General features: G+C 38.4%; 1 protein-coding gene and 1 long non-coding RNA gene across 75 annotated transcripts in view; one reads left to right on the top strand and one right to left on the bottom strand.

Annotated features, from left to right (window-relative positions):
* PLEKHA5 (pleckstrin homology domain containing A5) overlaps window positions 1–27690 on the bottom strand; it is a 246668-nt gene that overhangs the window by 78354 nt on the left and 140624 nt on the right. For 29 of the 74 annotated variants that reach the window (NR_169816.1, NR_169819.1, NM_001256470.2 and 26 more), the window contains 5 exons: window positions 23064–23531; window positions 14302–14767; window positions 10491–10574; window positions 7251–7370; window positions 6350–6403 (listed from right to left, as the gene is read on the bottom strand). Coding sequence is in view for 68 of the 74 variants with exons in the window: in NM_001256470.2 (NP_001243399.1) it covers window positions 6350–6403; window positions 7251–7370; window positions 10491–10574; window positions 14302–14767; window positions 23064–23531 (1192 nt within the window). In the remaining 6 variants the exon portion in view is untranslated. Of the gene's footprint in view, window positions 1–6349; window positions 6404–6468; window positions 7536–10490; window positions 10575–14301; window positions 14768–23063; window positions 23532–27690 lie in introns of those variants that run through there. The other 45 variants (NR_169821.1, NR_169817.1, NM_001385934.1 and 42 more) reach the window with 8 other exon arrangements.
* On the top strand, window positions 19161–22363 carry LOC124902892 (uncharacterized). Its single transcript, XR_007063235.1, has 3 exons — window positions 19161–19250; window positions 21305–21481; window positions 22282–22363. It is a non-coding gene; the product is annotated as an uncharacterized LOC124902892 (long non-coding RNA).

The following is a 27690-nucleotide window of genomic DNA, read 5'->3' as shown; positions in this document are numbered from 1 at the left end:
TTTTTAGTAGAGATGGGGTTCACCATGTTGGCCAGGCTGTCTCAAACTCCTGACCTCAGGTGATCCACCCACCTTGGCCTCCCAAAGTGCTGGGATTACAGGCGTGAGCCACTGTGCCCAGCCCAAAAAAGATTTTCTTACCCTCCTCCTCAGAATTTGATAATTGTTTTTTAAAAAATGTACTGATAAAAAGACACATATATAGGTGCTGACTCTGTTGACAATCTATCCCCAGTCTACTGGATCTCCAAATAAACATGAAATGTTTTTCATTCTCAAAAAAAAAAAAAAAATAATAATTTACTGGTAAATTATAAAGAAGGATTTAGCTATTGACTCTGGCAAACCTTAAACATTTTCATGCAAAAAAGAATACATAGGTATGCTTGCACTGTATTTTTTTTTTTTTTTTTTTTTTGAGACGGAGCCTCGCTCTGTCGCCCAGGCCGGACTGCGGACTGCAGTGGCGCAATCTCGGCTCACTGCAAGCTCCGCTTCCCGGGTTCACGCCATTCTCCTGCCTCAGCCTCCCCAGTAGCTGGGACTACAGGCGCCCGCCACCGCGCCCGGCTAATTTTTTGTATTTTTAGTAGAGACGGGGTTTCACCTTGTTAGCCAGGATGGTCTCGATCTCCTGACCTCATGATCCACCTGCCTCGGCCTCCCAAAGTGCTGGGATTACAGGCGTGAGCCACCGCGCCCGGCCTGTATTTTTTTTTTTTTAACTGTACTATGGCAAACTGATTTGTCATGAAAAACTTCCTGCTTTTCCATGACTTTGAGGATAACGTCCTTTAGCTATCTGATGTTAAAAGAAGAGGCTGGTTACTGCAGTAGAATATCATAATTCTGGGGGGGTTGGTACATGTTTGGTTTACCCACAGTAGGGAGCATGCTTACCAAAAGCATGTGAAGCATTGCTCTAAGTCTCTGGATCCTTCTGCACATCTCCATCTACATACTTCGTAGTCACAGTTCCTAATATCTCACCTGCTGTTATCATTGCCTACTTGAAAATCTGGCAGGAAGGTTATTAGGGAAAAGGAAAAGGGGAATATCATTTAAGTTCCCTCACAACTGCTCTTCAAACACTAGCAGAGAATGTTAGAAAGAAAAAGAGTAAGAAACAAATGGAAGGAAAAGCTAAAATAGACGTGAGGAATATGGAGGGAAACACGTTCCAACTTCCCCATTCCTATTAATACTCCTTTCATGCCTGGATCAAAAAAGTGCTACCTCTTCACTCATGGAGAGTTTTTGACTGCTTCCTGTCTTCAGCTCCTGGTCTAGTTTCTAAACGCCTAATTTCATTCTTTTGCTCAACCCAACCAGACCTGGTCCAGGCTACAGGAGCCAAGAACTAGAAACTAGCGTAGATCTAGTAAGTGACAAGACTGAGAAACTTCAAGTCCCTACTCCCAATGTTAGATCTGCTGAAGAAGGCATACGTGTTCCTAAGATCTGAGGTTTGCACACTGAATACATTTTTTTTTTTTTTTTGAGATAGAGTCTTGCTCTGTTACCCAGGCTGGAGTGCAGGGCATGATCTTGGCTCACTGCAACCTCTGCTTCCTAGCTTCAAGTGATTCTCATTCCTCAGCCTACCAAGTAGCTGGCATTACAGGCACACACCACCAGGCCCGGCTAATTTTTGTGTTTTTAGTAGAGATGGGCTTTCACCATGTTGTCCCAGGCTGGTCTCGGAATCCTGACCTCAGGTGATCCACCCACCTTGGCCTCCCAAAGTCTTGGGATTACAGGCGTGAGCCACAGTGCCTGGCCACACTGAGTAATTTTTTTTTTTTTTCAGACGGAGTCTCACTCTGTCGCCCGGGCTGTAGTGCAGTGGCGTGATCTTGGCTCACCACAACCTCTGCCTCCACCTCCCGGATTCAAGTGATTCTCCTGTCTCAGCCTCCCAAGTAGCTGAGATTACAGGTGCCCACCACCATGCCTGGCTAATTTTTGTGTTTTTAGTAGAGACGAGGTTTCACTATACGTTGGCCAGGCTGGTCTCGAACTCCTGCCCTCAGGTGATGCACCTGCCTTGGCCTCCCAAAGTTTTGGGATTACAGGCATGAGCCACTGTGCCCAGCCACTGAATACATTTTTAAAAGAGATATTTTCTTCAGTGTGGTTAGGGTGTGTGATACTGTTAGTCTGGTCTTCAGATATAGCACAGGGTAAAATACTATCTTTCATGGCCTGGCTTGGGAATCTAACCACCAGGGATACTATGAAAAATCCTTAATAACCAGTAGGGTACAGGAGCCAAAACAACCAGTGTGCTCCTTCTTCTCTATCTTACAACCAAATATCATCAAATGGTTTGGCTACAATCAGCTCCTATGGAAACCTGTTACTCCAGTTTCAAACAAATGACTTATAGTTGGCTCTATGGAACCTTTTAGGGACTCCTAATCATAAAATGATTGCTCAGCAGGGCAGCTTATGCTTGATCTGCCCTGTTAAGAAAAAAAATTTTTTTCAAAATTTTCTTTTTCCCTCATAAAATAAACACCAGCTACTATGGCACTTTCAAAGAACTACAACAGGATATTTCATTCTTCAGGGGAGGAGACCCCACTTTAACTGCTGATAATCTGAAATTTACTTCCAACCTCCTGGCAAGTACACAGCAAGGGCAACACTTTACTTATGGCTTCCCTCCATCCCTATTATATTCTGTTAGGCAGAAAAATAAACATGGAAAAAGCTAATAAATGTTAAATCCATTCAGTACATGCATTTTAGGATGAAGCTGGCAAGTTTCACTTAAACTGTAACCAAAAGTGTCTCCAATATTCAGCAACAACTAAGCTGGATGAGAAGAAAATGAGTTACTGATATATTATGCATTTATTCATTCTCTACATAGAGCATGGATGAGGTACATAAAATATATAGTTGGGATTACTGTATGTATACAGGTTCTACTTTGGGCCTATGCTATCTTAAAATTCACAAAAATGACAAATAAACCAGGGCTAGTCTTATATAAATGTGGACTTTGAATAATACACTAACTGGGCTATGGAAGCATAAACAAACTGTAATAGTGTACTTAATGATGAAACAAAAAACTGAAGAAAATTCTACCATGTAATTAGTATATCTATTGTTATTTTTAAACCACTTTAATACATGATTCATCCTCATAAACGGTGACAGTGAGAATCAAATTATATTGCTGAAGTTACAGGCACCAGAAGTCAAGATTTTTGGATTGCCTGCTTAATATGTAAATCTGCAGACTTTCAGATAAGGCTATTTTATTTTTTATTTGTTATTAAACATTCCAGTAGCATCAGAAATGAGTTGACCTCTGAAGTAACTATGAGAATACTCTTTGGGTCTATGTGTTTTGTGAATACTGACAGTGATTAACAGAATTTAAAGAAATTACAGTTTTGCTTTTGATTATTGTAATACCTCACAAGGGGCAGGAGGAAAACTACATTTTGTTGCTGGTCTTGGGTTATTCTGATGATTTATTAGGGGAGGCAGAGTAAGTGTTAGAGTGAGAATAGATTAGTACATGTTCATTTGTTATGATATATAGTATAAAATGTGACCAGAGCCTTTTCCTCTTTCAGATTTTATAATTTACTCTCAAATTTGTGGTTACATAAAACTGATGAATCAATTCATAAATCCAGGGAACCAATAATCCCTACAAAAGCAACGGACCTGGTACTCTAAAATGTTACGCTACTGGCAGTAACAAGATTAAAAGCTGGAAATGTTTGAGCTGAATGAAAAATTTTATTAAAATTCAAAGTTATCTAAATCATAAATTTTTAATAAAATTATCTAAGGAGAGATTTTCTTTAGGAAACCTTAAGGATACATACATTTAAGTATATCTGAGTTTTTGGGCAGTCTCCACCATGTTTTCATATGCTGTCTAATTATTACCTAAAAATGGCCCAATTTTTGCTATCAAAATATTCTTACTTCAAACACAAGTACCATTCAAACAATTCTGTAATTCTTCTCATTATCACAAACTTTAAAAATTGAATAGCTTTACTTCAGATAAATTACTGGAAAAGCTTTGGTGAGATGTTGAGAGAATAGAGAAGATCAATAACACATTAGGATGTTTAGAAGTCACCAGTAGGACCACAAGCATGGAGCAGTAGAAAAGGTTCAACAAAGCTTTCTTTGAGAGGAGAGATGGGAATGTGAACCTCAACGAGGTCTAGGTCATTTAGGTAAAGGGATAAAACACAATCTCGATGTGGGAAAGTGATTGAGGAAGGGCATCTTAGCATATGGTGGTGTTTTTGATATATTTACCTGTCCTTTTCTAAAATTTTCTGAAGTTCTATGTCTCTGCAAGTTTTGATTCAATGAGGTCAGTAATAAATTACAGTAAACCACAAGGTTTATTTTCAGAGATGTGGGGTAACTTCAGATTCATGTTTATATCATTGTTTTTTAAACCTATTTTTTAGGACTATTTGCAGCTCTAAATACAAAGGAGTTTTTTATTTCCCATGTATCTTAGCAGCTTTCTGGCAGTGTAGAATTTTGAAGGAAGATGCATTTTTCTAGTGCATAATATACAAAGTGCATAATATACACTGTGGTTAAATTTCAATAGCCTCAATCTCTGGATTGAAGATCTGGAATTCGGATACATGAAATGCTGATTTTTAAAGTATTCCAATGGCCAAAATGCTGATGAAAATGTTTTGTGGAAAATATATAAATTTTATATTAACAAAAGTGTGTTACTTTTAAAAATTAAAATAAGGAAAATGATTTAACACCTTTCAAAGGGTTATCCTAATGCAAAATCCCTCTTTAAATACAACTAATTTAAAGTAGCACATTACTGTTTTGTTTCAAACAGGCAAATATAAATATGAAAGCATTTGTCTTATTTTCTACAGTAACCTCTTTATTTGATAAAATAGTCAAGTTTGGACATTTTGAAACAAGCTAGAATAAGTTTTAGCTTGATTTATATAAAAAAATGTATTCAATGAAAGAAATTATGTCTAATAACAAAAAATTCCCAACAAATTAAAATTAAATATTAATAGAACATTTTATAAAAACTGAGTCACTCCTTGTTAAATGCCACTTTCTTTTTTTTTGAGATAGAGTCTCGCTCTGTTACCCAAGCTGGAGTGCAGTGGTGTGATCTTGGTTCACTGCAACCTCTGCCTCCAGGGCTCAAGTGATTCTCCTGCCTCAGCCTCCCAAGTAGCAGGGATTACAGGTGCACACCACCATGCTCGGCTAGTTTTTGTATTTTTAGTAGAGACGGTGTTTCGCCACGTTGGCTGGGCTGGTCTCAAATTCCTGACCTTAGGTGATCCACCTGCCTCAGCCTCCCAAAGTGCTGGGATTACAGGCGGGAGCCACCACACCCGGCCCATTGCCATTTTCACTTTTGAACATTCACCTCAACCAGGCACACCTGGTGCCACCACTGAGGTAATGCTAGGAATGTGAGCCTCCTATAAAACTGGCTCTACACACGTTGGCAAAGACCAAACATTGGAAGTACACAGCAAACAGGGAATAAGGACAGGCAACTGCAAATCACCTCCACTACACACTTCACCCATCTTCCTTCCTCCCTTACTCCCTCCCTCTCTCTCTTTCTCTGTTTCTTTATTTTTAAGACAGAGTCTTGCGCTGTAGCCCAGGCTGGAGTGCAGTGGTGCATGATCTCGGCTCACTGCAACCTCCACCTCCCGGGTTCAAGCAATTCTCATGCCTCAGCCTCCCAAGCTGCTGGGATTACAGACGTTCACTGTGACGCCCGGCTCATTTTTGTATTTTTAGTAGAGGCAGGGTTTCTCCATGTTGGCCAGCCTCGTCTCGAACTCCTGGCCTCCAGTGAGCCGCCTGCCTCAGCCTCCCAAAGTGCTGGGATTACAGGCATGAGCCATTGCATCCAGCCAACTTCACCCACCTTTAAACTCCCCTTTAGGAATACAGAGCACACTACATTCACCCTCCTTCTTGCCTTCCAACAAGACAATTCACAGCTTGGTGTCTGTTCCTTTAATTAGGTCAGCTCCAAGCTGAGATAAGCCTCAAGGAGTAGGTGTTTTAATGGGATAAGAAGAACGAAGTCTAGAGAATTTAGGCCCTCAATTTCAGGTGACCCAGCATTTGTATCCCTCTTTACCTCCACACCTGTCCTTTCTCCCTGTTTATTATGGAATTCCTGAATCCACCTGGTCAGAGATTTCATATTCTATCACTTGTAAAAGTCATGTTATTAATTCAACGTGACTGAAATAGCTGAGAAGCCTGAAAAACTGTATTATATTTAAGAAGTTCTATTAAGTATTAAAAGTAAGAAAATCTCTATGAATCCCACCTGATGATCCAAATATATGGTGTTCCTTTGGAGATGATGTGAAAGAATTTCATTCTAGTAGGCACCAATTAAGAAAAAAGGGACAGAGAAAGAGGATGTGGAATTCAAGAAAAGGTCAATTTTGGAATAAGAAAAACAGGTAATTTACTACAACCTATTATATCACAGTACACGACAACTTTCACGCACATGCTCCCCTGTAAATGGTACCGCTGACATATTAAATTACAAAATTATATTTTGTTTTGTAAGAAATTACGTAGACATGCATATGAACAATGAACTATTAAGCAGAAAAATTCCTTAAAATAGCTTTAGCAAACTGACTGTTAGAACTTTTACATGTCAATTATTTCCTCTAATATAGTACTACTTCTTTAAATAAGATCTTTCTTATATAACCAGAGCTATAAACCCTTTGAGAAACGGTTATGTGTTCGTTCTTTTCATTAAAAATAAGACATTTTAAAATTAATTTTTAACATTTAAAAGGCAGTATTATTAAAGCTATAATGAATTTTTAATTTATTGTTTTATTGGAAATTATAGGACTTCTCAATATTTGTTTTACCAGATATGGAAGTCACAGTATTCAGTGAGTAACAACATGAAGTTAATGCGTACATGAAGTATTGTACGCATTGCCTTCCTCAAAACCAAAAGCCAGTGGGTGAGCGGGTGGGGTAGAAGGCTAAGAAGAAATGCACCCTACCTGTATTTTCTTTCAGTAATGTATAAATAAGTTGAATTCTCAAAGGGTTAATAGGAGATTCTAATGTTGTCACTATAATGATGGTATGGGCTCATGCTCAACACTAATGATGCTGATCATATTGACTGATGAGTGTTTCAAAATAAGAGATGATGGCAGACGACACAGACAAATCTCTCCATAGCTGACCTTTGGGCTGTGGGCCTCAAGCTTTAGCTGCATGAGCTGTGCTAACGTATGCTCCCGGATACTACTCAGTTCGGCTTGCTGCCGTCTCAGCTTTATTAGCAGCAGCGTAAGCTCCTCTGGCTGAAGGAGTACAATTTAAGAATCCAAACAGTGGAAAACAGATTAATTGTTGTCTTAAGTGACAGATATTAAACCAAGATTTCTTGGCAAGTTTCCTCTTATGGTTGACATCAAACATAGTGCCTAGGCACTATGATGATAGGTCCTACATAAATGCATAGATATCTAGAGAAATAGAAGGAACAGTGTTACTTTAAAAGATACAGCAAAACAACAGTAAATTAAGGCATTTTCTCAGAACTCATGAGAACATTTAAATGTTAAGTACAAAAAAGCACAATGCCAAAAAAACATTATAAAGGTTTGTACATAAGTGCTACTAAAAAATTATTAAAAGATATTTTACTAAGATATCTAAAAAAATTACACCTTTTCCCAGCAATAGTACAAATACCTGCATGTCCAACTTTCTAACAGAACTACATAAAATAATTAAAATAAATGTAGTCCGGGCACAGTGGCTCACGCCTGTAATCCCAGCACTTTGGGAGGCTGAGGGAGGCGGATCACAAGGTCAGAAGTTCGAGACCAGCCTGAGCCCTGCCTCTACTAAAGATTAAAGAAAAATTAGCCAGGCATGGTGGCACGCAACTGTAATCCCAGCTACTCGGGAGGCTGAGGCAGGAGAATCGCTTGAATCCAGGAGGTGGAGTTTGCAGTGAGCCGAGATCACGCCATTGCATTCCAACCTGGGCGACACGGCGAGACTCCATCTCAAAATAAATAAATAAAAAAATAAATAAAAATAAAATAAAATAAAATAAAACTTGGATATCTTCACATTATTAAATTTGGGATCTGGGTTCTATTAATTGCTTCCCAGTTATACTCTGAAATGTCACTGTTAGTGCTTTCATATAGCATTTTTTATGACCAAAAGATCAGTTTTATTTTTTAAGAAAAAGAGAGTTTCCATGGGCACATAAACCCTCCTTCTTCACTCTGGGAAAAGAAGAGAACCTTTTTTTGGTTCCTGATTGGTGACTGTGATCCAAAGGAAAATAAATTTTCAACAGTGGATGAAATTCCTTAATGGGCCAATTTAATATACTTTTCTTAGAAATACAGTAAAGTATGATCATTGGCATTCTTATAGCCCATAAAATATTACTTGGTATTTCTCTGAGCTTTGTTATGATTAACAACTGAAAGCAGGCTACAGGCTTTCCTCACTGGAGTGCTGCAATGTACTCTTAAAAATTCCAGGCTAAAAAGTATTCCCAAGATTGGTTTGTTTTGCCTACACGACAGCATTGCATTAACTCTCTTCCGTTCTGTTTATTTGCTATTGCTCTTTATTTTCTGACAATTCTTTTCAAAAACAGAAATCATTTTTAACCATTATCCAAAATCATATTAAAAATTATTGCCTTCAGAAGAAAAAGTGTTAGCAGAAGTTACTATTGGATTCCTTAGATAAAACTGGGTATCCACAGGTGAGACAACAGTTTTTTACTGTATATTAAATGGTCAAAGAATATTTGGTGTATGAGATTTAAATAAACCATGTAAGAGAAAAAGAACAGTTGCTTTTGCTCTGATGCCAATCCTATCTCGTGACCTCATGATGCTAGGATAGTCCTTGTTTTATGATCATCATCTCCAACACTTGAGGTCTTGCCAGGGAGAAGGTAAGATGGGCAAAGGGATTTAGATATTCTAAGAACCCAGAGTGATACCGCAAGGAATACTGAAACTCTGGTTTATTATTTATGGAGCTAAACAGACTAAGAGATTTTCAAAAGGATGAAAGATACCAATAACTTTATTTAGATTTTGAGGCCAAATAAAGAGGCACATTTGACCAAAGAAAGTAGGTGGTGGTAAATAAATTTTGGCTAAATATCCACTAGAGGGAGCAAGGCAGAAGAGAAACATTTGTGGTATGCTATTTAGCATTTACTCTATGATTAATGACTATTTGTCAGGCCAACAATCTAATGTTTTAAGATTCCCACATTTAAAAGTCCTTAGTCTTAATCAAATAATCTTTGGCAAATAAACTGCAGGAAGCTTAAAGCAAGGAAATATTTCATTTTATCTAAATGTGTAAAAGATAAAATAAAACAATGTTTTTACAAAACACATAAGATGAATTTGATTACTGCAGGAAGAGAATTTTAAATAATGAACAACTATACACACAGGTGCTAAAATCACATCTTTACAGAAACTGAGGTTATCTACTGACAATAAAGCCAGTGCCCCTGATAAAAGAATACCATTAAAATAAACTGAAGTGAGGAAAAGTCATCTTTTCTCTTTAACTAGAAGAAGTGTCCTGCTAATGTAACTCCTTTCCAATTAACATAACACTGACAATGAAATGGTAATGGTAAATACTTGCTTTGATCGAACGCTTGTTACAGTCTTTTTCTGCTGATATGTAAATCAGTTTATTTTACAAACAGCTCTAAAGAAGTTAATCTAAAAATTCACACGAAAAACTTAATACGCTGGTAGTTTGACTACAAATAACTGCTTGCTGGATTTGTTCACTAATGAATTACTGCAACTTCTGTTTTAAGGATAAGGGAATGAAAGTAAAGAAACCCACCTAGTTCATACAATAAAGTTTCTTTTTTTTTTTTTTTTTTTTGAGACAGAGTCTTGCTCTGTTGCCCAGGCTGGAGTGCAATGGCAGGATCTCGGCTCACTGCAAACTCCACCTCCTGGGTTCAAGTGATTCTCCTGCCTCAGCCTCCCAAGTAGCTGGGATTACAGGCACGCACCACCATGCCCGGCTAATTTTGTATTTTTAGTAGAGATGGGGTTTCAACATGTTGGCCAGGCTGGTCTTGAACTCCTGACCTCAAGCGATCCGCCTGCCTTGGCCTCCCAAAGTGCTGGGATTACAGGCATGAGCCACCGTGCCCGGCCATAAAGTTTCAAAATATAATCTTTTATTTGGCCAGTCAGACACTTAGGAAAAGGTATCCACTAAAACACTGAAATGGCTACATGATTTCAAATTCTGATGAGCATCTCTTGCACAAAAGCAGTAATGTTTTTTCTTTGGGAGAACCTCTGAAAATTCAAACTTAAAAATTATGTTAGATATGTACCTTCCTGTGCAGCACATAAATAAAACATGGTATGGTAAATAAAGATATTACTCACCGTTTTCCCTTGGAGGCTCTGGGGACTAACAGACTGTAAAGTCAGGCCAGCTGGCACTGACCTTCTGTCAGGCACATAGACATGCTAGGAAAGTAAAGGCACAATGTAATTCTGTGGTAAAGTTTTTTTTTTCTTATCAATGTCAGCAAGGAGAAATCTTAAATTCCTATTATGAAATACCATTTAAAATTGCTATTAGTGCTTATGAAAGATGATAGAGACTAACATTTCTTGACATAAAATACTGATGTGGGGCTGGGTGCGGTGGCTCACGCCTGTAATCCCAACACTTTGAAAGGCCAGGGTGGACAGATCACTTGAGGTCAGGAGTTCGAGACCAGCCTAGCCAACATGGTGAAACCCTGTCCTTTCTCTACTAAAAGTATAAAAAATTAGCCAGGTGTGGTGGCGTGGGCCTGTAATCCTAGCTACTCGGAAGGCTGACGTGGGACAAGTGCTTGACCCCGGGAGGCAGAGGTTGCAGTGAGCCGAGATAGCACCACTGCACTCCAGCCTGGGCAACAGAGCGAGGCTCCATCTAAAAAAATAATGATGTGGATGAGCAGAGTAATTCTTTTTTTTTTTGTTTTTTGAAGCAGAGTCTCACTCTGTTGCCCAGCCTGGAGTGTATGGCAAGATCTCAGCTCACTGCAACCTCCACCTCCTGGGTTCAAGAGATCCTCCTACCGCAGCCTCTCAAGTAGCTGGGATTACAGGCGCATGCCACCACGTCTGACTAATTTTTGTATTTTTAGTAGAGACGGGGTTTCACCATGTTGGCCAGGCTGGTCTCGAACTCCTGGCCTCAAGCAATCCACCTACCTCGGCCTCCCAAAGTGCTAGGATTACAGGCTTGAGCCACTTGCCCGGCCTGAACAGAGTAATTCTAAAATCTGGTTTAGAGGTTCTCAAAAACTCTTTGACCTCAGGATCCCTTTATATTCTTAAAAAGAAAATTTAGTGGCAAGAGTGGCATTGTTTTACAGTTTTGCAAATCTTTAATGTCTGGCTGGATTCTTGTATCTGTTTCTGTATTTAATCTGTTGTGATAATCTCTTTTAGTGGAAGTATGTGAAGAAAATCTACCCTCAATATATATAGTTGGAAAAAAGGAGAGAATTTTAATAGTTTTTCTTGATAATTATAGATGTTCATCTTTGACACTGCGCTATAGCTCAAAAAACTGATATTTTTTAAAGGTTAGTTACAAAGTGATATCTGAAACCTTATCAATGAACTTTTGATACTCTGTTACATTAATATCCACTTGGTCTATTTGTACTTTAAATGAATCTTGTGACATCAAACACTGGTCATCTGGAAAATATTGGTTCAGTGAGTTATGCAATGTTCTAAATATTGACATATGTCAGTATACAATATAAAAACATCACAACTGTTAATATCACCGCCAATCTTTAAGCACCGGAAAGCTGTCAAGTTCAGGGTGGCAGATACATGATTTTCAAAATTCTATTTTTTGCTTGAAAACTCAAACGTTGTTATCAGTAACAAATACTGTCAGTTGTTTTCCTTGAAGTGACAGGATAGCATTCACTTTGAGAAAGTGTGTCTATCAAATACCACGTCTGAATATTGACAGTTGTCTTTTGTTCAAGTAAAAATATGTTTCACAATAAAAGGAACTAATTCAGCTTGCAACTCCATCATGTGTTTTACTGTGAGACAACGGTTAGCACTTTGGTATGCCATAGAAATGCTTTATGCATTTACCATTTCATCACAAGTAATAGTAAAAGAATATGTAACAAAATGTTAAGGTTCAATAAAATTATTTTCTACTGTTTCATGAATGAGATTTATAAGTGAACCTGATACTTTATTTTTTACTTCAAGTGTGTGGCAGGGAGGGCTACAATGACCACTAGCATAGTCTGGATCCACTGCCTTGATTTATGCTAAGGTGCCAGAAATTTTACTCACCATCGCTTCTGCACTACTAGAGCAAATAGGAACACAATGAATAATGCCTTATTATGATCATAAAAATAGTTTTGACTCCCTGAAACGGTCATGGGAGGGAACCCCCACAGGGGTCCATGAACTACACTTTAAGAACCACTGATCTAGATCAAGGAAGAGGATAGGATAGTTTGAAAGAAAAATTTGGCAATTTTGGAGAAGTCTTTTGGGAGTAGCAGTAGCAGACAGTTGAGAATTGGATAGAGAATATAGATTCATCTCATATTTGCTGTCGAAACAGATGATATATTCTGGCCAAGAACATGAAAAATACTATTAACCATGAGAGCATGTAATTTAGAGCCAATTGTTAGACCATACACATTAAGTTGTATTAGATCAGATTTTTCTTATATATTGTTACTATTTTTATCAATCATGATTTAGTCTTTGGAAAAAGTGAGGAAACACTGAACTTTGTTACGATGGAGTTCAAAGTGAGCCTTTTGTTGTGAGGCAAATTAAAACTTTCTTCAAAGGAAAATTCCTGATTAATCTATTAATCTTAACAAATGCTTATTTATGGAAATATCAAGCAAATGCTTAGGTAATAACGCAGCTGAAGAAATCAGCTTGTCACAAGGATAAGAAAAGAGCATTTTAAAACAGTATAAAGCAATAACTTATTATTACTATTTTTTGAGTCAGAGTCCTGCTCTGTCTCCCAGGCTTGGGTGCAGTGGTGCAATCACAGCTTACTACAGCCTCAACCTTCCATGTTCAAGTGATCCTATGGCCTTGGCTCCCCAAAGTGTTGGGAATACAGGTGTGAGCCACTATGTCCGGTCAAAGAACTCTTCAGTATGAAAAAAAAAGCACTTTAGGATAGACATTAGGGAACTGGTTGTGTACTAGCTGACTAATCAAAGCCACTGCTTTAGCATTATGAAAAGCTGATTGATACAAAGCACTTTGAATTCACTTCAAATAATCTATACTAAGCAATGCTTAAACCAACTTAATATACAAAGTAAAACATGATCTCCATTTTTAAAATGTATACATACCATTAAGCTACAATATTAAATCGAGTGTTTAAGGAGTTATCTCAATATGCCATATATTCATTGGTTAGAAGATAAAGTTAACACTTTTATCCTCATGAACAACAGGATGAGCTTGATACAAAATTTCAGGTATGCCAGAAGACAGTAGGTGTAGAATTTCCAAGTGTGTAAAAAGCCAATAAAAATGAATGTGGTCTAGGCCAGGCACAGTGGCTCACACCTGCAATCTCAGCACTTTGGGAGGCTGAGGCCAGTGGGTCACTTGAGATCAGGAGTTCAAGACCAGCCTGGGCATCACGGTGAAACCACATCTCTACTAAAAATACAAAAATTAGCCAGGTGTGGTGGCGCATGTCTGTAATCCCAGCTACTCGGGAGGCTGAGGAAGGAGAATCGCTTGAGCCCGGGAGGCAGAGGTTGCAGTGAGCTGAGATTATGCCTCTGCATTCCAGCCTGGGCAACAGAGAGAGACTCCATCTCAAAACAAAACAACAACAACAACAAAAACAACAGAAAAATGCATGTGGTGTTAAGCTACACGGAGAACTGATGAGATATGGTATCAAGCAGAGAAAACAGAATGCATCTGCTCAAAAGAACTGCTCCTGTGTTCCTGAGAGATGAAGTGTTGCAATTAGGTATTTTTTATACATGAGATCTTAATGTTGTAAAATATTTTTATTTATTTTTTAAAACAAAAAAGAGCTGCCTTGCTTACTTTATCCCCATTCTTTTGTCTCTCACATTTAAAATAGTATACTAGAAAGAAAACACAGCATTTATAAGGTAGTGAGTTAACACAAAATCAGCAGCTATTTTACCTTAGGGTGATGGGCCCTGTGTCTGCGGTCTATTGTCACATCTCCTCTCTGAATTGGTGAAGACACTTCCGATCTGTAAGTTCGTTGAGGGGAGTATCCCTGATAAGCAGCTATTGACCCGTGGGAAGGTGATGTGGGAATAGAGTGCATTGTCTGGTCAGAAATATTTACCATGGTTTTGGGACTACTCAAAGTACTGTGTCGAGGGAGGGTGCTCTGTTTGTTATAAAACTGACGCTGCTGCCATTCGTAGAGCTGCCACATTGTGTCATCTCTCATGGACCTCCGTTTCTCCTCCGCTCCGGGTCCTAATGTCTTGTCATGAGTGGAAGGGGTTACACTGCAGATACTTTCAGGCCTTGTCTTGCTGTTTCTTGGGAGTGTTCTATAACCTTCAGGGTAGCGGGCCATAATCTGGGCTCTGTGACTTGGCATATTTCTTGGTAATGTTTGGTAAGAAATTACTCTAAAATAAAAAAATAATTAAAATGTAAACATGAAGGAGGGTTATTTTCCAAATTCTAAATTAGAGTACATTTCTTTTGTTCCAGTAAGTAAAATATACATTAGAATTTTTTTTTTTTTTTTTTTTTTTTGGGAGACAAGAGTCTCGCTCTGTTGCCCAAGCTGGAGTGCAATGGCGTGATCTCGGCTCACTGCAACCTCCGCCTCCTGGGCTCAAGCGATTCTCCTGCCTCAGCCTCCTGGGTAGCTGGGATTACAGGCATCCACCACCATGCCCGGCTGATCTTGAATTCCTGACCTCAGGTAATCCACCCACTTCGGCCTCCCAAAGTGCTGGGATTACAAGCATGAGCCACCGTGCCCAGCTTAGAATGTATTTTTTTAAAGATCAAAATATTATCCAAGGTATAAACTATTAACAGATTTTAATCTTTTTAATGAAATTCGATTTAACACACTTAATACAAGATAAACAGCATCTATATCAATTACACAAAAGACTATTAGTTCCACACAATGTAGAGTTTGATTTAAAGATGAAAGAGTATTATACTTCATTTGAGAAATAAGAATGTTTAAAATCTAATCTCAATTCTGTCACTATATTTTATTTGTTTTTATATAAATAAACTCTCATTTTTATACATCTCATCAGAGGACTAGGATTTCTATGTATGGATGAAATATGAAGTGAGTTATACCCATAGAGCATAAAGACAGGAAATAAATTACTACAAGTATATGTTGACTATTCTGTTGTATGTTTTCTTTCAGGAAGTATGGTTATTTATGGGAGTAAATACATCAGTACATTTGGTTTGAAGGAATAACTTCCTTTCATAGCTTTTCCTAACTTGAGATATAAAAGTGACTTGGAGCTGATGCTCAGAATTCTATTAAAGATAAAATACTTAAATATCACAATATTTCAGATATAAAAGTGCAATCTCAGCAATTTTGCAAAGTTTCCAGCACAGTAATTAATATTCCACTTCATAGATGGTAGAATATTTTTCAGGAGGCTTCTTAAAGCAATCTAAAAATGCTTCATGTACATTATGCATGCAAAGTATAATTCTTTTAAAATGTTAATTTTGGGAATTGGATATGTAATTGCATATTACTAAGCACAGAATACTACCATTTCCAAAAATGAAAGAATACAATTTCAGTTTACTATTTTTAAAAAAACCACTTTGGGCCGGGCGCAGTGGCTCACGCCTGTAATCCCAGCACTTTGGGAGGCGGAGGCAGGCGGATCAAGAGGTCAGGAGATCGAGACCATCCTGGCTAACACAGTGAAACCCCGTCTCTTCGAAAAATACAAAAAAATTAGCCGGGCGTGGTGGCAGGTGCCTGTAGTCCCAGCTACTTGGGAGGCTGAGGCAGGAGAATGGCGTGACCCCAGGAAGCCGAGCTTGCAGCGAGACAAGATCGCGCCAGTGCACTCCAGCCTGGGCGACAGAGTGAGACTCCATCTCAAAACAACAACAACAACAACAACAACAACAAAAACCACTTTGATAAACATACTCTTTTGAGTTTATAAAACTATCACAGTGCCAACTTCATACTAGGTGAAATTCATGATATAAAAAAGATTTTTAAAAGTTAGGGGAGAAGTGAGCCAGAAAAAAAAGAATCAATTAAAAACTCTACGTAAAGTTAGCATTTGTGTTTCCCTATTATCTTTTTTTTTTTTTGGAGATAGTGTTTTGCTCTGTTGCCCAGGCTGAAGTGCATTGGCACAATCTCAGCTCACTGCAACCTCCGCCTCTCAGGTTCGAGTGATTCTCCTGCCTCAGGCCCCTGAGTAGCTGGGACTACAGGCACCAGCCACCATGCCCAGCTAATTTTTTGTACTTTTGTAGAGATGGGGTTTTGCCATGTTGCCCAGGGCGATCTCAAACTCCTGAGCTCAGGCAATCTGCCTGCCTCAGCCTCCTAAAGTGCCAGGATTACAGGAGTGAGCGCCTGGCCTCCATTTCCTTTAGATACAGAGGTGTAGGTATAATTCAAATTCTAAATACAAACATACTTTTTTTTTTTTTTTTGAGATGGATTCTCACTCTGTCACCCAGGCTGGAGTGCAGTGGAGTACACTGCAGCCCGGTCCTCCTGAGCTCAAGTGATCTTCCTGCCTCAGCCTCCTAAGTAGCTAGGACTACAGATATATGCCACCATGTGTGGCTAATTTTTTATTTTTCCCAAACGTAACTTTTTAACCACCACCAGAACAAGAAACATCTAGATTAGAAAAAGTAAGATTAGGCTGGGCGTGGTGGCTTGCGCCTGTAATCCCAGTACTTTGGGAGGCTGAGGCAGGCAGATCGCTTGAGGCCAGGAGTTCAAGACCAGCTTGGCCAACATGGTGAAACCCTGTCTCTACTAAAAATACAAAAATCAGCCAGGTGTGGTGACGCACGCCTGTAGTTCCAGCTACTCGGGAGGCTGAGGCAGGAGAATCACTTAAACCTGGGAGGTGGAGGTTGCAGTGAGCTGAAATCGTGCTGGTGACAGACACTCTGTCTCAAAAAAAAAAAAAGAAAAAGAAAAATTAAATTACAAGTATTCATCTTATACAATCATCTCCATAGGCATAAATTTATATCCTAATATCAAAATCAACAGAATTCAATGAACCAAGTATGTGGAAGGGTTGGGACTCCACAAACTCAGGTTTTCTGATCTCTTCTTTCAATGTTTAGTTAACAACTTTTTCCTAATATTACATGGGCTCCTACTGGTTGTGAAAATGTCAGAGATATTGGTAATTACATGGACCCGAAGGGATTAAATATTTGATGGGAAAATCATTTGACCATACTCTTAATAATCTGGGAATCCTTCGCTGATAATCTGGATATAAGAGCTCTCTTTTGACCCAAAGACCTGTCAGTAACAATGCACAAATACTGATATATTATAGTTACAAAAAGATTTCAGGCTGGGTGCAGCGGCTCACCCCTGTAATCCCAGCACTTTGGGAGGCCAAGGCGGGTGGATCACTTGAGGTCAGGAGTTCAACATAGCAAAATCCCGTCTCTACAAAAACTAGAAAATATTAGTCAGGTGTGGTAGCATGCTCCTGCACTCCCAGCTACTCGGGAGGTTGAGGCAGGAGAACTGCTTGAACCCAGGAGGCAGAGGTTGCAGTGAGCTGAGATTGTGCCACTGTACTCCAGCCTGGCCAACAGAGGGATGGCCCTGTCTCCAAAAAAAAAAAAAAAAAAAAAAAAAAAAACAGGTTTCATTGTGATGAATTAAGTGCATTCTGGACTATGAGGCACCTAATTAATAAACTGCCGGCATAATTTGTGTCTATTGGGGCAGTAAAATTATGTTACCTTTACACTAAGAGAAAAATCTCATGTTAAATATACCTTCTCTTTGTGGGTTAAAGCATCCAGAGGGGATATAGTGGGAAAACAGTAAAACAGGAAAAGTGGTTGATCAAAAATCAAGACAGCCAAGTTTTGATTCTTGCTTTCCTATTAAGTACTTAGACCTTGGATGAGTTACATATTCTGGGGCTTTCAGAATATTGGGGGCAGGGTAGGGGAGTAGGGGAGAAAAGACCAAGAGATTTTATATATATATGTATGTATTTTTTTTTTTTTTGAGATGGAGTCTCACTCTGTCGTCCAGGCTGGAGTGCAATGGCATGATCTCCGCTCACTGGACCTGTCTCCCAGGTTCAAACGATTCTCCTGCCTCAGCCTCCCGAGTAGCTGTGATTACAGGTGCCTGCTGCTACACCCAGCTAATTTTTGTATTTTTAGTAGGGACAGGGTTTCACCATGTTGGCCAGGCTGGTCTTGAACTCCGGACCTCAGGTGATCCAACCACCTTGGCCTCCCAAAGTGCCAGGATTACAGGTGTGAGCCACACCTGGTCCAAGAGATCATACTTGGGGTTACAGAAAGAGCTTGCGGGCTAAATAGAACTAAAATGCAGGTCTCCTACTTTCTAAAGCAGCACTCTTTTAACTATGCCAGTGATCCCTAAACTTTTTGATTTTTTAAAAAAATCCCTCTATTTTTAAATTTTGCCACGATATGAATATTATTTTTAAAAAACCATACTCATCTATCACAATGACTTAGTTAAAAATAAAAAGGTATTAAAAATTAGGAAGGATATAATCTTATCGCACCAGAGAGCTCTTTAATATGCTATTAAAATCTAGCCAATGGCCAACTGAAACTGGGATCCTCTTTTCTCATCTAGAAGATGATTTCATCATAAACTTATTCTAGAGCTCTAAAATTCTATGCCTTATTTTGTATTTTAAATATTTCTAATTCTTTCAACCGTTTCTCCTAAACTAAATTTCCTTCATCATGGTGGTTGTTCTTCAGGATTTCAATGTCTCTACTCAAAAAGAGGTTGTTCAAAATTGAACGAAATGTCTCCAGACAAGAACCGCTGCATTCAGGCCAACCATCCGATTCGATGCCTTCGGGGTGGAGAGAGGGAGAAAGGTACCCAATTGCTCTTATATAACCAGTATAAAGAGTTCAATTCCTTGAGGCTTTCCCTCCATGGGTATTTCCTATTTTGTTTCTGCTTGGTCTTCCTCCCCATCTTCACCGTCTCCTATCACACGAAAGCCAGAAACTGGAAAACATCCAGAGCTGGCAATCCCATGACTATGTGCAAATATGTCAGCTAGGGAAAGCTGACTCCATCAAAGAGACTGCCCTAGTACTAAAGCAATTTACTCTGACACACCTTGGTTTGTTTGGTCATTCATAAATTGAAGAAATACTACAGGAGGCTTAATATGCAAAAAGCTAGAGATTAAGCACTGAGCTATATCATAGAAACATGTAAGGAAGGGGACATACATTATCAATCTAAAACACACCCAAAGTTGCTTATAAACTAATATCTAAATTATAGTTCAAAAATATAATTACACTAAAACACTTTTGTCAAGTGCTCTGAAGTATTCATAATGTTTGGGTTGGACCCTGTTGTAGAGACGTATATTGAACCTGAACTGTCAACTATCATATGATCATTAACAGCAGGATATATATATTTTTAGTAAGCTTGCCTAATTAATGACATTAAAAGGCTCTTCTGTCATCTTTGGAACCACATTTGGGGAATTTTAATTAAAAATTAAATTATTATCAAGCAAATTTATTTTTATCCCATATATTTCTAGCACTTTGAGACCTGTTTTTCAAAACTACAATTCCCTTTAGTGACTTTTTTCCCCAAAGAAATTCAAATTAAGCAAAGTGTGATTTACTTTTAACTGAAAGCTTAAGAAATGAACACTCTAAGCTCCTACATCAGATTTAGTGCCCCATTGGCCAGCAGCTGCCTGTCAAGCACCATAAAAGCCCTTTCCCTGTGATTCTGCCATGCAGAACAATGGCTTAAGGACCATGCATCTTAACAGTGCCTGCCACTCAGAATGAAACTTTAAAGCTTTGTTCACAGATGCAGGGATCTACTATTTTGACTAAATATTAAACCTTTTTCTTTCTATCAGAACTTTAATAATAGAAGACTTTCATAAAGCTTTTTAAAAAATGATTTATATATTGAATTACAATTGTTTCATTCCACCAATAAAAAATCATTTCATTATAAAACACTACAACTATTTTTATGATGAAGTTTATATCATAATGTAGATGATATTTTCTTATGATCCAAAGTGGACTCAAGCCATTTCAAAAGAACATCTAAATAACAGTATTTATAAAAACTGGCATAACAGTTAACCCAAAAATGTAGGAGGAACCCAGAGAAAATCTTAGCTCAAAATAACCTAAAACCAGCCTTCAGAAGCTGTTGGTGTATGTCCAAAAGGAAGAAGTCACTGAAAGACTTTACTGATATTAATTACACTCATAAAGGAACCTAAAACTAGTATTTATACTTCACAATTTTTAAAAATCCTCTAATTTCCAGATATCTGTTGACTCTCTCTATACACTTTTAAACTTAAGAAAGTATGATTTTCGGGGAAAAGTGATTCTTCTTTGAAGTAAGATTTAACTTGGTGAGCAGAGACGCACCAATCTTCTGATTTGGATTTTTATAATTTTTCTGAAAGTGATTACTTTCCCAAGTACTTCCAAACATCCTTTCATTTTTTTCCCCCCAGACCTGCTTCCTGCTTCTTTTCTGTCTAATCACATTGTATTAATTTATTTTCCTGCTAGTAATATATAAGCTTATTCATGTCTGTCATTCCATCCAACATTAAGTAATCTAATTTTTATTCATCTATGCCTTAATTCTTTTATTTATGATTTTGGTCAATCTGGTAAGTGAAAAATAATGCCTAATTGTTTCTTTAATGTGCAATTCCCTGATTACTGGTAAATTTGAGCATCTGCCAGTTTCCTTTTTAAAGAAAATTGACAAATAAGATTATATATATTTATGGTGAACAACATGTTTTGAAATATGTATATTGTGGAATGGCTAAACCAAGCTAATTAACATATGTATTACCTCACATAACCCATCCAACCACTATCTTCTCTTTTCCCAAATCTTTTCTTTGCAGTAAAAGGCACCAAATCACCCTAGTTGCCCAGGCCTAAAAGGCAGGGTGTCATTTTTGATTTCCTTCAAGAAACTTCCAGATTGGAGTGCAGTGGCACGATCCTGGCTCACTGCAACCTCTGCCTCCCGGGTTCAAGAGATTCTCCTGCCTCAGCCTCCCCAGTAGCTGAGATTACAGGTGAGCACTAAAATGTCTGGCTAATCTTTGTATTTTTAGTAGACATGGGGTTTCACCATCTTGGCCAGGCTGGTCTCGAACTCCTGGCCTCAACTGAACTGCCCGCCTTGGCCTCCCGAAGTGCTGGGATTACAGACTCAAGCCACCTTGCCCGGCACCAAACTTAATCTTGAGCAAGACGAGTTTGCAATCAAGCACATCAAAGCAATCAACTAGACTTGTCAATTATATCCCGAATACATCCTCATCCTCTTCTCACTTCAATCACTTAAGTAACTTTTGAACTTTCTCCAATTTATTATCCAGATTTCTGAGACACCAATCTGAATCTCTCTCTCCTAGCTTATGTCTCTAGCCTGTTCTTCACTCATTGATTCCCCAGTTACAATCAAGTCATACTGGATTTCTTTTGATTCTTCTGTTCTCTACCAAGCCTGGCGCTTTGCATATCTAAGCCATAATATGCATGTTATTCTTCGTATCACTGCTTGTGTTTTGCTTCCTCTACAAAGGTTTTCCTAGACTCTGAATCCTTAAGATTGTGCTGTTGTCCCGAAATGTGTTCCTACAGCACCCTGGTCTGCCTTCATTGTATTTGTCACACTAAATTGCATCTACTTATTCAATTGTCTCCTCTACTAGAGAATTATCTCTGTGAGTATCTGGACTGTATCTTTTCATTATTTTACTTTGCGGTCCCACAATTAGCATATAGTAGTTGCAAAATAAATATATTAAGAAAAGGTGCATGCAAAAATGAATAAATGCTCATATAAATATATTTACATTTTTTTTTTTAGAGTTGGGTTCTCACTGTGCTGCCACGCTGGAGTGCACTGGCACAGTCATAGCTCACTGCAGCTCCCAACTCCTGGGCTCAAGCAATCCTCCCACTTCAACTTCCCCCAAGTAGTAGGTACTACAGGTATGCACCACTATGCTTGGCTAATTTTTAAGAATTTTTTACAGAGATAGGGTCTTGCTAGGTTGCCCAGGCTGGTCTCAAACTCCTGGCATCAAACGATTCTCCTGCTTTGGCCTCCCAAAGTGCTGGGATTACAAGCCGAAAAACTGCGCCTGGCCTTGAATTTAATAGTTATGTGCATTCTGATTTAAAGAAAGCCCAAGAATAAGACTGGGAATTAGAGAGCAGTAGGCCTTTGCTGCCTCCATATTACTTGTCTCAGGAGATCCTTGCATTGTACCAACCTGCAGAAACTGGTAATGGAGGACAGTCAGAGAAGAGGTGATAATGGCAGGGGACAAGACAGGGGTGGGTTGGGAGGACAGGGCTTGCTCCCTCCCTCTCCCAAATAAACTCGATCTCTGCCTGTAACCCAAGCCTTTCCTTGTGCTTGGCCAGGAAGGATGACTCCTTGCCATTAGCAAAGTTGGGTGACAGAACATAAGAGACAGAGAATAAATACTTATATCTGATCATTATAAACAAAAGACGTAGTAATGAAGCTATAACAGCTAAAACACAATTTAAACCAATATTTTAATCAGTAGCTCAGAAACCAATCTCCACCAACACAGCATCAAAGAAACCTGGGTTCATAATGACAAGACAGACACTTACCCCCTGGTTTCTTCTTCATGACCCCTCCCCTTCTGGATTTTAATCCACTGTTCCAACTGCTGCATTGAATTTGTTCTCTGTATGACTCGATCGGCCTCTGTGTATAAGGGCCCTGTATTGGGGCGATTTCCACCTCTAAGATCTGCCAGGCTAACATTGACTATTTTGTTCTCTGAACTGCTCAAGTTGATTGGTCTGTAGTGCACAGTCTGAGCAGGGCATGCTGACCCACTCTCATATTCAGATGGCAGAGAATTCAGCTTTACACTATTAATTTTTGTTAAGGGTCTATCTTGACCATCCTTCTGAAATCCATATTTTTCAGCTTCTAATGCCTTTTTTTCTTCAATTTTGCTCATTTCCTTGTTTTTTTGATTGTTTTGGATCTCTGGTTTAATTAGCACTCTATGGTTGGGAATGTTATTGGTTTCTTTAGTTGGTGCATTTTCAGATGTAATCTTGTCCACTCTGAAATCAGAGAAGAAAATCATAGTAAATCAGATGAAATAATGTACATATTACTTCTGGGATTCAATCTAGGAAAAATTATACTTTACGGGGGTGGGGGCCAGGGGACTGGAAAGGGTCACAGTGGACAAGTCTACACAAATACCCAATGCTGTGATATTAACATTCAAGCACAACACCAGAATGTATAAACAGAAAGGGGGAAAAAGAAAACATAAAGAACTAGAGCGTAAAAAGTGATGTGTGCTCCCACCATTAGGAATCTGAAAATAAAGCAAATTAAGATTGCCTTATGACAGTTAAACCACAAAGTCTACACTTAAAGGACCACAGTAGATAGTCCCTTGAAAGGAGCCACATGGCTCCCAGCCAAGGTTAGCTGCTTGTTGACTCATGAGACAAACATGAGTCTGGTTGTGGAAATGGCTGCAACAGGAAATCATAGTCTGATGCTATCAAAGATCTGAACCATATAATTAACTCCTTTTGTTTGTATTCAAGAGGAACTCAGTATGATTTTAGAGCTCTTGGAGTCTGACTGCACATGTCCAGCTTGCAACTCTGTTCTTACTAGCTGAGTCTTCAGGCAAAGTACAGAACACTTAAAGTGCCTATGCTTCCTCTTTGGTAAATGGGTATGATTGTGCCACCAAGATCAGAGGGTTCTTGTGAGAATCAGATGAGTTAATGAGTGGCTGGCACAGACCTTATTTTACCATTATAATTCCAACACATCAAGCAATCTTGGGTTAGAATCTGGCATCCCATGTCCACCTGGCCACTGAAAGAATGAGCTCGTTAACAGCATGTGTCTAGGTCACTCGACAGTTGTACTTGCTCACTATTCTAGTTGCCATATCTAGGTCTTTCCCTGAGCCTAATCACTTCCAGACTCTGAAAAGATCAAGCTGAGTGTGTGAACCTGCACGAAACTGCCAAGATCATGCCACTCTAGGAGGCCTCTCAGGAGCCAGCCAACCCTCCATATTCCAATAAATAAAAATGCTTCTATCAGAAACTAGGTGTGGTAATGCTGCCAATGTTTATGACGTGTGGAAAGGATGTAGATCTATATACATATATCTGTAATCAACTATAGATGAAGATATCTAGAAGCTTTGGAATATGGTCACCAAGGAAAAAAAATTAAAAAAAAAAGGTGACTATTTTTCTTGGAGTAAAGTTATGAACCATCCATATATTTAGGTTAAATATAAACCATGGCTTCTAGATTGGAGGCAACATTAGACATTGGGAAAATTTACTAAGATAGACTATGTGCTTCTTTCTCTTGAAAAATAAAAGTTGGCCAGGTGTGGCCACTGATGCCTGTAATCCCAGCACTTTGGGAGGCCAGGGTGGGTGGATCACCTAAGATCAGGTGTTTGAGACCAGCCGGGCCAAAATGGTGAGACCCCGTCTCTACGAAAAATAAAAAAAAAATTAGCTGGCTTGGTGGAGGACATCTGTAATCCCACCTACTCGGGAGGCTGAGGCAGGAGAATTGCTTGAACCTGAGAGGCAGAGTTTGGAGTGAGCTGAGATCGTGCCACTGCACTCCAGCCTGGGCGACAGAGCGAGACTCCATCTCAAAACAAGAACAACAAAGAAGGCATAGAACATTTACACTAAAAGCATATGTATCCCTTGCTATTTGGGAGGGTAGGAATTTTAACATTAAACATAAAATAACTGAAAAGATTTTTAAAACATATTTACTGTAGTCTATCTAAAGCTATTATTATTACTGTCATCATGATTATTATCATTATTATTTGAGATAAGGTCTCTTGCCGTATAACCCAGGGGGGAGTGCAGTGACGTGATCTTGGCTCTCTGCAACCTCAACTTTCTGGGCTCAAGTGATCCTTCCCTCTCAGCCTCCCGAGCAGCCGGGACTATAGGTACACGCCACCACACCTAGCTAATTTTTAAATTTTTTTAGAGACGGGGTCTCACTGGTCACCTAGGTTGGTCTTGAACTCCTGGGCTCAAGCAATCCTCCCACCTTGGCCTCCTACATTATTGGGGTTACAAGCGTGAGCCACCGTGCTCAGCCTAAAGCTATTATTTTAAATTAAAACTGTGGTGGGTTTTTTTTCTTTTTCCCCAAGATTTATCATTGAAAAAGTAGTCAAAAAGACACATATGATGACTTTTCTCTAAATGGAACAAAGCTGACTCAGAAAAGTATGCTAAGGTACCATAAATAATATAAAACTTGTGATCTAATTTTAAAAAGTGACATTTAAGTTATTGCAGAAAATACACTGAGATATATAAAATGAAAATAATGGGCTTAGAGATGAAAATTATTCAGAGAATCCATATTATACTTAGATTTTTTTTTCTTTGGGCCATCAATGATCTGCACACTAGGAGACTATGACATTATCGTGAACAGGTGAAATACTTTATAAAGTTAGGGAGAATGAACTCTCAAGTTAAAAACTGGATGTTGTATTACAGTGATAAGCTCTGATAAATATTTTAAGTATTTGAGCCATACAGCAAAATGAGTGCATTAGCTTAAAACCAAGCAAACAAAATCTCTCTATACTTACTTTCACTTTGAATGACTAAATCTAATAGAGTGGGATAAAAATGCCAACAACTAGGAGTAGAAGAAAACACATAATTTCTACAGGATAACGGACTCTAAGCTGGGCACGCAGGTGGTATTAATAAATCTTGTCTGAGTAGATTACACTAACAAAGACGGCTGAAAACTGTATAAGCACCTAACTAGTGAACTATCAGGTTGCCAAAAGCCAAGCCAAATAATTGCCATCTTTATCATCCCAAATTACGAGTAATTATCAGTTTTTAGAGTGGTAAATTTAATAAAATAAAGTAGAAACATGCTGAAATTCTGAGAAAAGTATAATATACAATATTGAAATTATTTGGACATAAATATTTTAATTATTATACAGATTTCTGTATTCTAAACAATTTCCTAAAAATTTTGCTTTGAAGTTAAAAGTATTGAAGTTTTATTTTTATTTTTTTTTGACAGGGTCTCACTCCGTTGTCTAGGCTGGAGTGCAGTGGCACAGTCACAGCTCACAGCAGCCTCAACCTCCTGATTCAAGTGATCCTCATGCTTCAGCCTCCTGAGTAGCAGGGACTACAAGAGTGTGGTACTACGCCCAGCTAATTTTTGTATTTTTGGTACAGATGGTGTTTCATCATGTTGCCCAGGCTGATCTCAAAATCCTGGGCTCAAGTGATCCCTCAACCTCCCAAAGTGCTAGAATTACAGGTGTGAGCCACCATGCTCAGCCTGAAGATTTTAAATGAATTCTCTTCACCTACACATTTTCTCTCGTTATCAGTGCTAACCACCTCATCTTTATGCTACTCAGGTAATTTTTACACATGCAATTCCAAAAACAGATTTTCCTTCTATCTGCTCTCATCCTGCAATATGCATGTGGCAAAAGTGGTTTTTCTTAAAAATAGATGTCCTAGAGCTATATCCTAGACCCTCTTTTCTTTTCAGTTTTTCCCCAGCTCTAATTACTAGTGATTGGGTAACTTGATTTAGACTTGATATTTACAAAAATAGCACAAATACACAGCATCAACCTAAGTCTTTTAGCCAAAAAGCCAAGACTTTATTAAAATGCACACTAGAATAAGAAAAACAAAGGACTAGATGTATACTGTAACAATCCCTAATTTCCTGAGAAGAGGGAAAAAAAAGAAGAGGGAAAAAAGATGCACATTAGCATCTTTCTTACATAAGATATGTGCTCAGCTGTCACTGACTGGAAGAAAAATTAACTTGCATCATAATTTTTTCTTCGAATTACAGGAATATATATTTTTTAAAAAGCACATTATACTACTTGTATTTATGTAGTCTGAGAATCAGATTTCCTCTAACTAGCTATACTGAAGAATATTAAAATGATTCGTATCTTCAAGCAGGGAAAAATACATGGGTCAATTTTAACAGCACTTATCTATATTATCAAGGAATCTGAGTAGTGGAGTTTCAATATAAAAAAGGTACAATTCACCAAGAAGTGGATTTGGAAACAATCTAAATGCTTGACGAACTATTTTCTGGAGACATTCATTACAAAAACAATAAAAATTAATCAGAAATGTTGAAAAAATGAAACTATCAAAGTTTCTTACTGTAATTCAT

Source organism: Homo sapiens, chromosome 12 (assembly GCF_000001405.40).
Source record: "Homo sapiens chromosome 12, GRCh38.p14 Primary Assembly".
NCBI classification, from domain to species: Eukaryota; Metazoa; Chordata; class Mammalia; order Primates; family Hominidae; genus Homo; species Homo sapiens.
This window is presented reverse-complemented; position numbering and strand designations above follow the sequence as displayed.